Source organism: Homo sapiens, chromosome 1, assembly GCF_000001405.40.
Source record: "Homo sapiens chromosome 1, GRCh38.p14 Primary Assembly".
Taxonomy (NCBI): domain Eukaryota; kingdom Metazoa; phylum Chordata; class Mammalia; order Primates; family Hominidae; genus Homo; species Homo sapiens.
This window is the reverse complement of record NC_000001.11, coordinates 77,471,670-77,485,592: the sequence shown is the minus strand read 5'-3', so window position 1 is coordinate 77,485,592 and position 13,923 is coordinate 77,471,670. Positions and strand designations below refer to the sequence as shown.

At 40.0% G+C, this 13,923-nt stretch overlaps 1 protein-coding gene across 8 annotated transcripts in view; it reads right to left on the bottom strand.

Annotated features, from left to right (window-relative positions):
• AK5 (adenylate kinase 5) overlaps window positions 1-13,923 on the bottom strand; it is a 277,948-nt gene that overhangs the window by 74,374 nt on the left and 189,651 nt on the right. For all 8 annotated transcript variants that reach the window (NM_174858.3, XM_005270739.6, XM_017001012.2 and 5 more), the window contains one exon: window positions 2,234-2,276. In NM_174858.3, the coding sequence (NP_777283.1) occupies window positions 2,234-2,276 (43 nt within the window). The remainder of the gene's footprint in view (window positions 1-2,233; window positions 2,277-13,923) is intronic.

Here is a 13,923-nt window from a genome sequence, read left to right as displayed (position 1 = left end):
TTAAAAAATAGTTTCACTTAGAGCAAATAATGTTATTTTACATTTAAGGTAGTGATATAAAATTTCCTTTTAAAATAAATGTATCTGAGTAACAGCAGTTCATATTTTCTGTAGATAACTACTTTTGAAAGTTAGATCATTATTCTGACAGGAAACATTTTTTAGTGAAATTGGGGTAGTTCATTTATATGCACGATACCACATTTTGTAGGAATTCACAATCAGCTGAGTGAAGCCCCAACTCTACCAGAGAAAGAGAGAGCATGGGGCATGATGAATTGGGTTGGGGACAAAGAGAGGAGAAAGAGCTGGAAACAGAGGATAGAAGTAAGTTTGGGATCGTTGAAACCATATGGTTTCCACAACAAAAAACAAACAAACAAAGAGAATTTTTAAATCAAATCCAGTCTCTTTACAGAATAACCCATGGTGACAGGAAACACCTTACATTGTTTGGAGTTTTCTATTAAAGGCAGATACACTGGTGTTCCTAACATGTGGAACCAGATGGTCATCTCAGGTTCTCTAGCCTGTGAGTTTACATTTACGAAGCTGAGGAACTCTGAGCCTATTTGCAATCTAGGAAAATGGTCCTGGTTATTATTGTGATTTTTTTTGGTATGATTGTATCCTATTTCAGTTTTAAAAAATAGTTGTTTTAAAATGAATGATGGTACATGACATTCATCTAATGTAGTCATTACAAATTAAGTATATAGTTTTTAATGACATGGGAACATGTTTATGTTGTGATATATACAAAACATTTGGAGATACTTATATATACACATGCATTCTCAACTATGTAAAAATAGATATATAGGCAATGCATTGGAATGAAATGTACCAAAATGTTAACCATGATAATTTATGTCATAAGGTTTTAAATGGCTCTTATTTTATACGTTAAAAAATTTCTATAGTATGTGTTAATTTTATAACTAGAATAAAAGAGAAAATTTCTTAGGCAATCAGTCATCCCCTATCCAGTTGAGACCAAGTTGATTATTTGCACTTAGCTAAGTGACAGCTAAGTTATGGCTCATATATTTGTACCTCTCCTCATGAATCACCAAGATGTCATTTGGTGACTGTGATTTTCACATACTGCTCTTGCCATTATCATCAAATGACACTTTACCCACCACCTTGTGCTCATGGATCTGTGCAGGATTAGAGCTGGGGTTATTTAAAAAGCTAAATCACTTACTTATATGTGTTTAGAATCAATACTATAAACATATTTCCATGACTTATATTATAACTTTTATTACAGGGTAGATATGTTAGAAGGTATTTTTACTTAGGACAATTATGAACCTTTTCTTTTTTGGATAGTCCCAAATTCACATAATCATATCTATTTTCAGTTACATGCATAGCTAGTTATGGGTGGAATTTTTACTTTTTGCAAGACTTTTTTTTTTTTTTTTGAGACGTAGTCTCACTCTGTCGCCAAGAGTGCAATGACGCAAACTTGGCTCACTGAAACCTCATCGTCCTGGGTTCAAGCAATTCTCCTGCCTCAGCCTCCTGAGTAGCTGGGATTACAGGTGTGCACCACCATGCCTTTCTAAATTTTTTTGTATTTTTAGTAGAGACAGGGTTTCACCATATTGGCCAGGGTCTTTAATTCCTGACCTCAAGTGATCCGGCCGCCTTGGCCTCCCAAAGTGCTGGGATTACAGGCGTGAGCCACTGCACCTGGCCATTTGCAAAACTTTTAATATGACAAAAATTACAAAGCAGTATAATCCTGGTGTAGGGTAGGTTGAGTTCCAAAGGTACACGTGGAATAGTAACTACCAGGCAGGAAAAATATTTTTGTGTTTCAATTATGTTTAATGAATGTTGAATTAAAGTTTAACAACTCTTTTTACTGCAGGACTTGTGGGAGCTTTGGATGCTATTATATACTTGGATCTTCCAGTGGGGAGTTGGTGTTAAGCATGTTTCAAAGATATTTGAGTAGAGCATCCTCTTTTCGCTGAGCCTCTCGGGAATCATGTTCTCTGGGCAGTTAAGAAATGCATCACTTAGCAATGCACCCCTTTGGTTCTTTACATGGATGGAGGCAGGAAAGACCCAAAGAGTTCTACTCTTAATCATGCTCCCTGGCCAAGGAAAAAGTGATGCTGTTAATATTTTTTCTCTCAAGTTGATGTTTAATTAAAAAGGCATGGTCAAAGTTACTAAAATGACAACTTTGATCTGATCAGTAAGGAAAACTCACCTCCCATAGTGTCCTCTCCAAATACATTTAACTGGTCATCACCCTGTTAAAAAAATCACAATATTAGATAATAATAACAGCAGGTATTTTGCTGAACTCCTTGGCAACACTGGCCTACTTGAACTTCCTAACAACTGTAAGAGGGAGGCACCTCCAAACAATTTTATGAGGGACAATATTTTACAGACAAAGACACTGAGAATTCTAAAAGTTAACTTTCCAAAGGTGACAGGGTAGTGAGGGACAGAGCTCAGAATTAAACCTGGGTCATCTGTCCCAAGTACATGCTCTCTTCTTAACCAGTACAGTATCTCACCTCTTTTTTTTTTTTTTTTTTTTTTTTTTTTTTTTTTTTTTTTTTTTTTTTAAAGTGCAAAAACTATCTGTGGACAGGAAGGCTGACTTCAAGAAGACAAAATCCTTTGGTATCAGAAGCTTAGTGGTAGGTGTGATCACAGCGGTTTTATGAGTAACTCCAAATTTTAAAGCTGGGGTTGGAAACAGTTTTCTGTAAAGGGCCAGATAGTAACTATTTTCATCATTGTGAGCAACATGTCCCCTGTAGCAACTACCATTTTTTTTTTTTTTTGAGACATAGTCTCGCCCTGTTGCCCAGGCTGGAGCGCAGTGGTGCAGTCTCGGCTCACTGCAACCTCCACCTCCCGGGTTCAAACAACTTGGGCCTCAGCCTCCCCAGTACCTGGCAATACAGGCATGTACCACCGTGCTGCGCTAATTTTTGTATTTTTAGTAGAGACAGAGTTTCACCATGTTGGCCAGGCTGGTCTCAAACTCCTGACCTCAAGTGATCTGCCTACCTCGGCCTTTCAAAGTGCTGGGATTACAGACATGAGCCACCGTGCCCGGCCCCTACAGGGCAACTATTTAGCCATAATTTGCCAATCCCCGAACCAAAGCATGAAATAAAGGAAGTAGGGGTGATCAGTTTTTATTGATTCCTACCTTAAAGTTTTCATTAAAAAATAATTTAATCAAACAGATGCTCTATTCCTTATGGAGTAGCCCATGGTGGTTGGAAAAAAATTCAGAAAAACATTTTATAAAAAGGCACTAGGTGAGAACTCTCACTCTCACCTATGTCTTCACCTGTATCATTTCTCCACTCTGTCACCCCTCATAGGTAACCACTTATACAGATTTTTCTTGAGGCAAACAAAAATGACTTCTAGATATCCAGGGATACATGTGAACATAAATAGATATTATGATCTCCACTTCTTATACAAAAGCATTATACTTTTATTATACATGCATATGTGTTTACGATATAATACTATTCTATAATACATTGCTCCTCCACTTGCTTTTTCTCTGATCAATGTATCCTGGAGAAATTTCCATATAAGTACAGAATGTTCTCAGTACCAAATATCATCAGTTGCACAGCATTCTATTGTATATGTGGTACCATAATTGTTGTTGTTTAATTAGTCCTTTATTGATGGATCAGTGAGTAGTTTCCAGTCTCAAACTTTTTTTGGAAAAAGTGGCACAGTGAGTAAATTGGCATAAATATCATTTCATACTGCAGGCTAAATTTCGAGAGAGGGGACTGCATGGTCAAAGAGTAAATGTATTTATAATTTTGATCGAATTTTGCCAAACTGCTCCCCACAGAGGTTGTACCATTTTGAAGGGACAGCCTCTGGCTTGTGCTTTATGCTGGCCTCTTGCCTCTAATTCACTTTGATGCCTGAGTCAGTTAAATGAGGTTGTCTGGTTGTATTAACACTCCCTTGAGGTAAACCGCCCTCAAAACACTTTATTTAAAGACAGATTCTTGCTGTCCTGTTTAGAATATATGCCTTCAGGGAAATTTTACTGCTCATCTTCTTAGAGTTGCCTGTGCATTCAGTGCTATTCCAGGTAAGAGAAGAGCTATTAACAGAGTGGTCATTCAGGGACACATTTACATTAATGAATTCTCTTCTGTGAATAGAAAAAACATCAATTATTCCTCAACAAGCCTCTCCACCACTTCCCTTGTTGAAATTACCGCAATTCAGAGCTTGGAGTTTAGGGATCACCTAATCCAATCCTGCCACCCACTCTTCCATTTTACAGATGAGGAAACTGATGTTCAGAGAGGTCATGCGAAGGGCCCATGGCCATGCCGTCATGTCCTTAGTGACGTCAGGATGGGATGAGAACCACTTCTTTTACCACTTTGCATGGCTGCTATGCATTTGGTCTCATCAGTGTAGGGGCATCCCCTCTCCTCTGCTCACCTGGCCAGGCACCCAGCCACCGAACTGCTGCTAAGGGCCCACTACAGTCTGGCTCCCTGCCTCAAGCTGGGATGAATCCATGGTGCAAGCTGAGCCCCAGAGCTCACCATGGTCTCAGGCTGAAGTTAGGATGGAGCCAGGACCACATCTTTGCTTAGCTCTTACCCCTGCCCTATCCTGCTTCTCCTCAGAGGGCTCCCTAATAATGCACTTGCATGAGAATTCTTGTCTCAGGCTCTGCTTCTAGGGGAAAAATATCAATTACTGCTCAAGACAGGGACCTTGAGGAGTTCCCAAATTCTCAGGGAATTTTGGATTTAAGACAGGGACCTATTTGAAGCAATTAATAAGTTTGCCTAAGGTGCAGCTGCATAGAACAGGCTCAAGAGTATTTCCTGGAAAAGGATTGTTTAATCTAAATCTTCTTATTGTTTGTCAAACAGCTATTGAATCTATCTAGGTAATGTTGAGAGGAAACCATGGAGTCCTCTCCCTCAATTTTTAATATTATTGTTAGATTATCAGACTTATACCCACCTTATAGGCTAGGCTGTATTAGATCTTTCTTCTACATGGCTATCATGTTTGGGGAGTCTGATCGTGGTTAATGTGAATTCCTGAAACAGTGCATCCCACTGTAAAAGGGCCCATCTGACCTCTGCCAGGCTTCCTGAGTCTGACCTATTTGTATCCACAGCTATTATTCACAGCCTTCTATTACACTTGCTCAAATGTTTCACATGAGCCCCAGCTTTATTTTCATTAATTCATCAATAGTGAACAGGCTGCTGGGACATAGATGCAACTGTCATCAACTCTCACCAGGAATGCGGTGCACTGACATGAAAGCCCAGGTGAATGAGATGTTTGATTGGAGGGTGTAACCAGGGACTCTCAATAAACCTCATGGTTCCAATGTGAATATTTTGTAAACAAAATTAATCTGGCATCTTACACACACACACACACACACACACACACACACACACACTCGGGGTGAATGGGAAACACTTCTGGTTTTGGTGAAAAAGATACCAAACAGCCCCTGTAAGCACTAAATCTTGTTACTTTTCAAATGTTGGGTGTGTTCTGCATGAAAGGCATTAATTTCAGAATGTCACTTGGACAAGGAACCAAAGGCTGTAGGCTTATTCAGGAGACGTCTGATCAGGTGTTTATGCTCAGTCGCCTTGGAGCTTCCTCTTCAATGAGGCATCACTTGAGAAGACTCAACCCATTAGCCACCACTCTGAGTGTCTGTGGGTGCCTCTTTGTGTTCTGGCCTTTTTCTGTGTTGAGGCTCCATCTAGTCCACCCTTTGTCACCTTAAGTCTGAATTATGGAGTTAGGCTTTGTGTGCACAACGGGACATAGGTGACTTTCCATAGTATTAAACTAGGTTTTGAGGTACATGAAGTGGGATACTAAATCTTCTGAACTGACAAAGAGAGAGAGAGAGAGTATAAATATAGTCACACATTTGATTTAAGTGACCTTTAAGACTCACATGTATGGGGCGCCAAGGCACAGCCTGCAATGCTGTGATTAATACTGTTAAGGTGGGAGAAGCTGCAGCAAACCCACTAACACCAAAAGACAATTTCAGGCCGGGTACGGTGGCTCACGCCTGTAATCCCAGCACTTTGGGAGGCCAAGGCAGACGGATCACCTGAAGTTGGGAGTTTGAGACCAGTCTGATCAACATGGAGAAACTCCGTCTCTACTAAAAATACAAAAATTAGCCGGGCATAGTGGCGCATGCCTGTAATCCTAGGTACTCAGGAAGTTTAGGCAGGAGACTCCCTTGAAACCTGGGAGGCGGAGGTTGCAGTGAGCTGAGATCATGCCACTGCACTCCAGCCTGGGCAACAAGAGCGAAATTCCGCCTCAAAAAAAAAAAAAAAAAAAAAAAAAGACAATTTCAGGTTGCTACCTCATTTTGATGCTATAGATTGGGTAATATGTTGGTAATTGATGAGGAGAAATCTAGAATTCTATTGAAGGGACACATTTAAAATTTCAAAGTGGGATTACTGGCTATGGAAAACTGCAGATTTGGATTAGAGACTTGCTTTGGTCTCTATCCCTCATCTTCCAGTCAATCAAGACCCATTAGGAGGGCAAAAGGAACCCACATTCAACCTTATTTCCCTGTGTAGGTGTATATGCAAAAAAAAAAAAAACTACTTTTGCAAGGCTGGGTTCTGGTACTATCATTTGTATGAAGAGTGGCTAATTGGGGTATATATGTGCTTTCCTTTAGGATCAGGGTGCCTATCATCACCACCTTAAGATATTCATGTCTAGTCATTTCCATTTCCTTGAATTATTGAATTTTAAATGAGGGAGATCAAAATAGAACAACTTAGTCTCACAGATGGGTTCACCAATTTTAAGAAACTATCTTCTTCAACTGGGTTTGATTACAGCATAGTGACTGCTCCTGGTGACAGAACCAATTTCTGTGGCATTGCCACAGTAGATTGTGTTAGTTTGTTTTCATACAGCTGATAAAGACATACCTGAGATTGGGCAATTTCCAAAGGAAAGAGGTTTAATGGAGAACTCATGGTCCCACGTGGCTGAAGAACCCTCACAATTATGGCGGAAGAGAAGGAGGAGCAAGTCACATCTTATGTGGATGGCAGCAGGCAAGGAGAGCTTGTGTAGAGAACTCCAATTTTTAAAACCATCAGATCTCCTGAGACCCATTCACTATCATGAGAACAGCATAGGAAAGACCCGCCCCCATGATTCAATCATTTCCCACCAGATCCCTCCCACAACATGTGGGAATTATGGGAGCTACAAGATGAGATTTGGGTGGGGACACAGAGCCAAACCATATCACAGATCACCTCATCATAAGAAGCTGACATTTAAATAATTCAGCTTGCAAGCCTGTTTGCAGATATGATCTCACTGGACCCTCACTGCAACCTCATGGATGAGGAACTTGTAGTTGAGATTCTGAGGGAGCACAGGATGGGGATGTGCCTGGGCTTCCCATGGCACAAGAGGTGAGCTGAACTTTGAAGTCAGCTCTCTGACACTAACCTCTGCTTCCTCAGCAGCATCCTCTTACTGCTCTTGGAGATGACAATCATGTATTCAGATATGCCCACCGTCCTTCCTTAAACCGTTTTGGTTTTTAAAAATGCTTTTGGAGGCCACAAAATTAAAGTTCTCCTGAGAAGGAGAAAGAAGTAATAGGTCATTTTGGGGGTGTATTCCCAGTTCAGAGTAACTTGTTTGTATTAACCAGCATGTGTGTTTCATGGTAGCAAAATGTGTAACTTCAAATGGGGTTATGAGAAAGGGGCTTACTTGACATTAAAATGTTACAGCTAAGATTAATTTCTTGCTCTAAAATTCACAAATGAATGCTGCAAAAAAAGGAGACTTTGTTTTTCTGACACTGAACATAGATAACTTCAAAATGCAAAAAAAAAGAAAAAAGAAAAAAGGATTTAAAAGTGATTCCTTAGTCTCTAAGATAATGTAAGGAGCAGTCTTTTCTAATTTTTTCTTACCTCAATGAGTACTAAACAGAATAACTCAAATTCTGGAAGAATCATGAACCATGAAATGCTAGCATATGAGGATTTTCCTAGATTTCTATTTAAATTGGTCTAGTGACTTCTCTCTGGTTACAGGAAGTAATAGCAGAGTGGTGGGGATAGAGGTGGAGCAAAAAAATATCGTGTAAGTTCTTGGAAGGGTTCACTTCATTGAGGGGCAGAATCTTAATAGGATGGAATAATAATTTAAAAAGAACAACCAGGCCAGATGTGGTGGCTCATGTCTATAATCCCAGCACTTTGGAAGGCCAAGGAGGGAGGATCATTTGAGCCCAGGAGTTTGAGACTAGCCTGGGCAACATAGTGAGACCCTGCTCTACAAAAAATTTAAAAAATTAGCTGGGCATGGTGGTGTGCACCTGTGGTCCCAGCTACTCAGGAGGCTAAGGCTGGAGGACGGCTTGGGCCTAGGAGGTTGAGGCTGCAGTAAGCCATGACTGCATCAGTACACTCTAGCCTGGATGACAGAGTGAGACCCTGTCTCAGAAACACACACACGCACACACACACACACACACACACACACTAAAAAGAACAATCAAAAATAGATCAGGCTATTTCCTCATCTTTTTACCTGAAAATGAATTTTTTTGCACTTTCCTTATACCTGTTTTTTTTTTTTAAAAAAACAGCAAAACACCTCACACATTAAACAATTTTAGAAAATGATTACTGGAACTATTATTTCAGTAGTACTTAGAGTGTTTTCAGCATGTGCAATCTCATCTGATCTCAGAAAAAAACTAGGAAGTAGGCAAGTTTGATGTTTCCCATTTTTCAGATGAGGAAACTGAAGCTCAGAAAGCTTATGCAACTTGTGCAGGATGCCCTGGTGGGTCGGGCTTCCCAATTCCCCAAGCCCATGTTCTGCCTTCCTCCGGCTGACCCGGCTGGCGTGAGATGATACATAAGTGCAGGATGACGGAGTATGGTGAGCAGGGAGGGGCATCGTTAGAAATGCTCCTGGTGTCATATGAATAGAAACGAAGATGGATTCATTTGCTAAAAGTGGAGCTGAAGCTGGATCATGCTAAACCAATGATCTGAAAATGAATTTTACAGGTTTTACTGGAAAACTGTGAATGAAGTTTTGAAATCCCTTGGAACTTCAGCAGGAGAATGTTGAAAAATACAAACATAAGTACATTTTATCACCAGGGAGAAGGGAGACTGGTCCTTCAGAAATTTTGAGTGGTTACAGTTCTTTTCTAAACCATGTTTTCATTTAAAGTAATGGGCAATTTGAAAGAAAAAAAGTATGGGAAATGGTGTGTAATTTAGTTACACCCCAGAATTTATTCCGCAGCAAGTCCCATTTCTCATTCACTGAACTACACAATTAGAGGTCTGCTTGCTGTAAAGTACTTGTATAACTGAGTAAACAGAGTTGAAAAAAATGTGGTAGATGCTAGGCTAACTTTTTCCAGTTGTATTAAATTGCAGTTTCTCTATATAAACTGCTTTAACAGACCTAGTTCTCTAGGAGAAATGGTATTTTTCTTCTCTTACATATAAATTGCAATATTAGTGTCTCTAATAAGAAATTTTAAAGAAAAAAATTTTCTCACTGTTTTTCTCTAAGTTCCTTTTTTCATCATCTCAAATACGTGTTCAACTCAACTCTCTGCTAGAAGATTATGAAACACTTTGATCTTGTCTTCAGATGCCAAATGTAGCACCATTGTTAAGAAGAGCTTTGTCAGGCTGGTGGTTTAAAGGAAGGGGCAAAGTTCCCATTTTAATTTCATGTAAAGTTAATGTTGGCCATAAAGTCACATCTGACTAGTCTTGCCAAGGAATTATTTGACCTTTACCTCTTTGTTTTCTAATTCCTTGTAAAACAGAAATAAAATGGCAAAGCTGAGCTTCAGTCACTGGGAATTACAGAGCACACTGGCTTGTCTCTTAACTTTTATTAGGTGCCATACATATATACAGGATCCATATATAGATATACAGAGAGAGTAATACATATATATATATAATATATATTTGTATATATATAATATATATACATATATATATAATATATATTTGTATATATATAATATATATACATATATAATATATATTTGTATATATATAATATATATACATATATATAATATATAGTATATATATACATATATATTATATATATACATATATATAATATATATTTGTATATATATAATATATATGTATATATATACATTTGCCCTGAGCTTGTTTACATTCTGCCCCTTCTACCTCCCCACCTCCCTGAGTAATATATATATTTCTCTCTATATCTATATATGGAGCCTTTATATATCTATATATGGAGTATATAGAATACACACACACACACACACATATATATATATATATATATATATATATACATGCACACACACATACTCCTAGCAAAATGGAAAATCAGATTTATTATTAGAATAAAACACACTAGGTTGAGCACAGTGGCTCACACCTGTAATCTCAGCACTTTGGGAGGCTGAGGTGGGAGGATTGTTTGAAGCCAGGACTTCAAGATCAGCCTGGTAAACATAGTGAGACCCCGTCTGTACAAAGAAGTTAAAAAAATAGCTAGACATGGTGCACACCTATAGTTTCAGCTACTCAGGAGACTGAGGTGGGAGGATCACTTGAATTTAAGTGTTTGAGGCTGCAGTGAGCTGTGATTGCACCACTGTGCTCTAGCCTGGGTGAAAGAAAGAGACTCTGTCTCAAAAATAAATAAATAAAAGAATAAAACACATTATATGTGTGTTTGTGTGTTTTCAGGGAGAAAAAGGATCACCCAGAGGCATCATCCTTTGTCACATCACCTTTCTTTAAGAAGGAAGTAAGATTGGGGGAAGGTGGGTCCAGATGAGGTGAGCCAGTGGAGAGCTTAAGGGACTGACAACTCCTTCTCCAGTCCTCTTCCTTCTGAGTTCCTCCATTGGTCACACTGTACCCTAATTAATGCTTTCCCTGCAGCCTGAAGCACTTCTTGATCATCACTGTCATAGAAGCAACAGTTTTCCATCAACCACTCCGAAGCCTACAGTCTGACCTGGACCCTACTTCTCCTGCTTTCATTATTCCTCAACATGAATGTCTGTGTTCAATCCCCAAGGCTCTAGAGGGTAAGCCTGAGTGGAAAGTGAGACAGAGCTAGTTAGTGGCAGTGGGACATAGAGCCAGGGAGGAATGAAAGATGATATCCAGGTCGGAGTTGGGAATCAAAGAGGCAGGTCAAAAGAAGTCTTCTTCCCATTAGAAACAATATGGGGGCCTGAGGTGACAGGCTTTACTCTGAGTCTACCAGCCTGAGAAGGGCTCAGGAGGAGACATTCGGGAGAGACTGCTGAGCAGTTGCTATCTATAGCTACTATTGACAATATTTATAAAGTACTGGCTGGTTTGCCCAAGCTAGTTAAGATAAACTCCACATGAGACAAATGAGTCCATTAATTTCCCCAGAGCTTGACCCGTTTAATCTGCCTTCTGGACCCCTGCTTATTGTTTGTCCAGCCTGGAATGCCTTCCCCTTTGCCTTGAGCTTGTTTACATTCTGCCCCTTCTTACACCTCCCCTCCTCCCTGAGCCTTTGCCAGTCACTTTACCCTCACCAAACTCCCCATGAATCATCCATTTGGCTCAGAGCATGTGTGAGTGGTAAGAAGAGCAACAAGAGCATTTTTGGAGCATTTGCTGTATGCCAGGGACAGCACTAAGCTCTTTACGTAGATGATCTCATTTAATTGTATTGCTACTTAACTACATATGTGCAGAATTCGTTTTTCCAAAATCCTTCTCAAAGATGGGGCTGTCTTTTATCTTTTTGCACCCAAATGACTAACAGAGACATGCTAAGTAAAGATTTGTAAATGATGAATATAAGAAGACAGCTTCTTTTTTCAAAATATAGTAAAAATAGTGATAGAGAAGATACAATCAGTAGATTTCTCCAGAAGGAAGAAGGGCAGAAGTAATATCAGTGCATAGGCAATTAGAAAGGTCTAAATGTTTAATGTCCGTAGCTGTCCAATCCTGGAAGTGTAGATTTGGAAGATCCCAGCACCAGAGGTATTCAGGTGGAGGCAGATTAACTATCTGGCAGTCAAGAGATTCTTAGACCGTGTAGGAGGTTAGATTAGGTGCTGTCTAAAGAAGCTTCTGAGGCTGGGCATGGTGTCTCATGCCTGTAATCCAAGTACTTTGAGAGGCTGAGGTGGGAGGATAGCTTGAGACAAGGAGTTTGAGGCTGCAGTGAGTTGTGATCGTACCACTGCACTCCAGCCTGGGCAACAGAGACCCTGTCTCAAACAAAACAAAACAAACAAAACACCAAAAAAAAAAAAACCCCAAGAAGCTTCCAATGCTGAGATTCTACTGCTCATGCAACAATTCAACCAATATTTACTGAGTTCTGTGGTAGAATAATCCTCCCACCCCCAGCAAAGATGTCCATGTCCTAATACTTGGAACTTGTGAATATGTTACCTTACATGGCCAAAGGGATTTTGCAGATGTGGATAAGTTAAGGATCCTGAGATGGGAAGATCATCCTGGATTATCTGGGCGGGCTCAACGCAATCACAAGGGTCCTTCTAAGAAAGAGTCAAGAGGGTCAGAGTCAGAGGAGAGGTGGCAACAGAAGCAGAGGTCAGAATGATGCCACTGATGGAAGGAGCCACAAGCCAAGGGATGTGGGCAACTAGAATCTGAAAAAGACAGGGAAATGGATTTCTCCCTAGAGCCTCCAGAAGAATTGCCTCATCAGTAGCTGGGACCACAGGTGTGTGCCACCACGCCCAGTCTTTTTTAAAAAAATTCATTTTTAGTAGAGATGGTATTTTACCATGTTGTCCAGGCTGTTCTCGAACTCCTGAGCTCAAGCGATCCACCTGCCTTGGCCTCCCAAAGTCCTGGGATTACAGGCATGAGCCACTGTGCCCGGCCCTCCCTCCCTCCTCTTCTTTTCTTGCAGGTAGAGCCCACCTCTCTTTTTGGATGCAGAAAATGCCAGATCCTTGCATTTCCATCCTCCCTTGCATTATGGGTATGGGTCTGTGACCAAATCAGGGCCAAGAGGATGTGAAAAAGCAATCTTCTGGGGGACTTTGGGAGAAAGAGGTTTTCTCTATTAAAAAAGAGAGACACACATGGGAGAATCAGCCTCACTCTCCCATTCTGGTTTTACAAGTGGTTGTGTGAGATGCCACGTTTGGATCCACCACTGCCACCCTGCGACCACAAAAGGAGGCATCCCCTATGCGTTAAGGAGGGCAGATGGAAATAGGGAAACTGCCTGGGCCCCATGTGACCTTGTGTCCCTGCTGGACCAACTCTGGGATCATCTACCTTTAAAATGTGGGTAAGGAAGAAAATAACATTTTTAATTGTTTATGACAATTTTAGCTAGGTTACTTGCAGGTGGCAGGCAGCAAGTTCACTGAATACTGCTTAACTTATGCACAATTGCAAAATCCTTTCTTGGGTGAATACTGGTATGAGTATATACAATTTCATTTTTGGCTTACATTTAAAAGGCACTTATCATTAATCTAATAAATAAGTTATTAAGGGTTAAGAATATTTGGAATCCATAACTTAACTCAGCATGTTTGTAGAGCTTTGGAGAACTCCAGTTCAGCATTCTCTTAAGAATCTGGCCGCTGTACAAGGCCGACAATGTTCAATGCTCCTACAGAATGTGTACACATACTGAAACTGGCAATCTTAACAGTTTTCAGGAAGGATGCATTTTGCTGCTATTCTTGCTTTTTCATTATTAATTATGATGACTTTATCTTCATTACTACCAATTTAATTTGCTGTGGGGTGTTAATGCCACCTTATGTGGCATTCCATATGTCCTTTGGCACTCCAA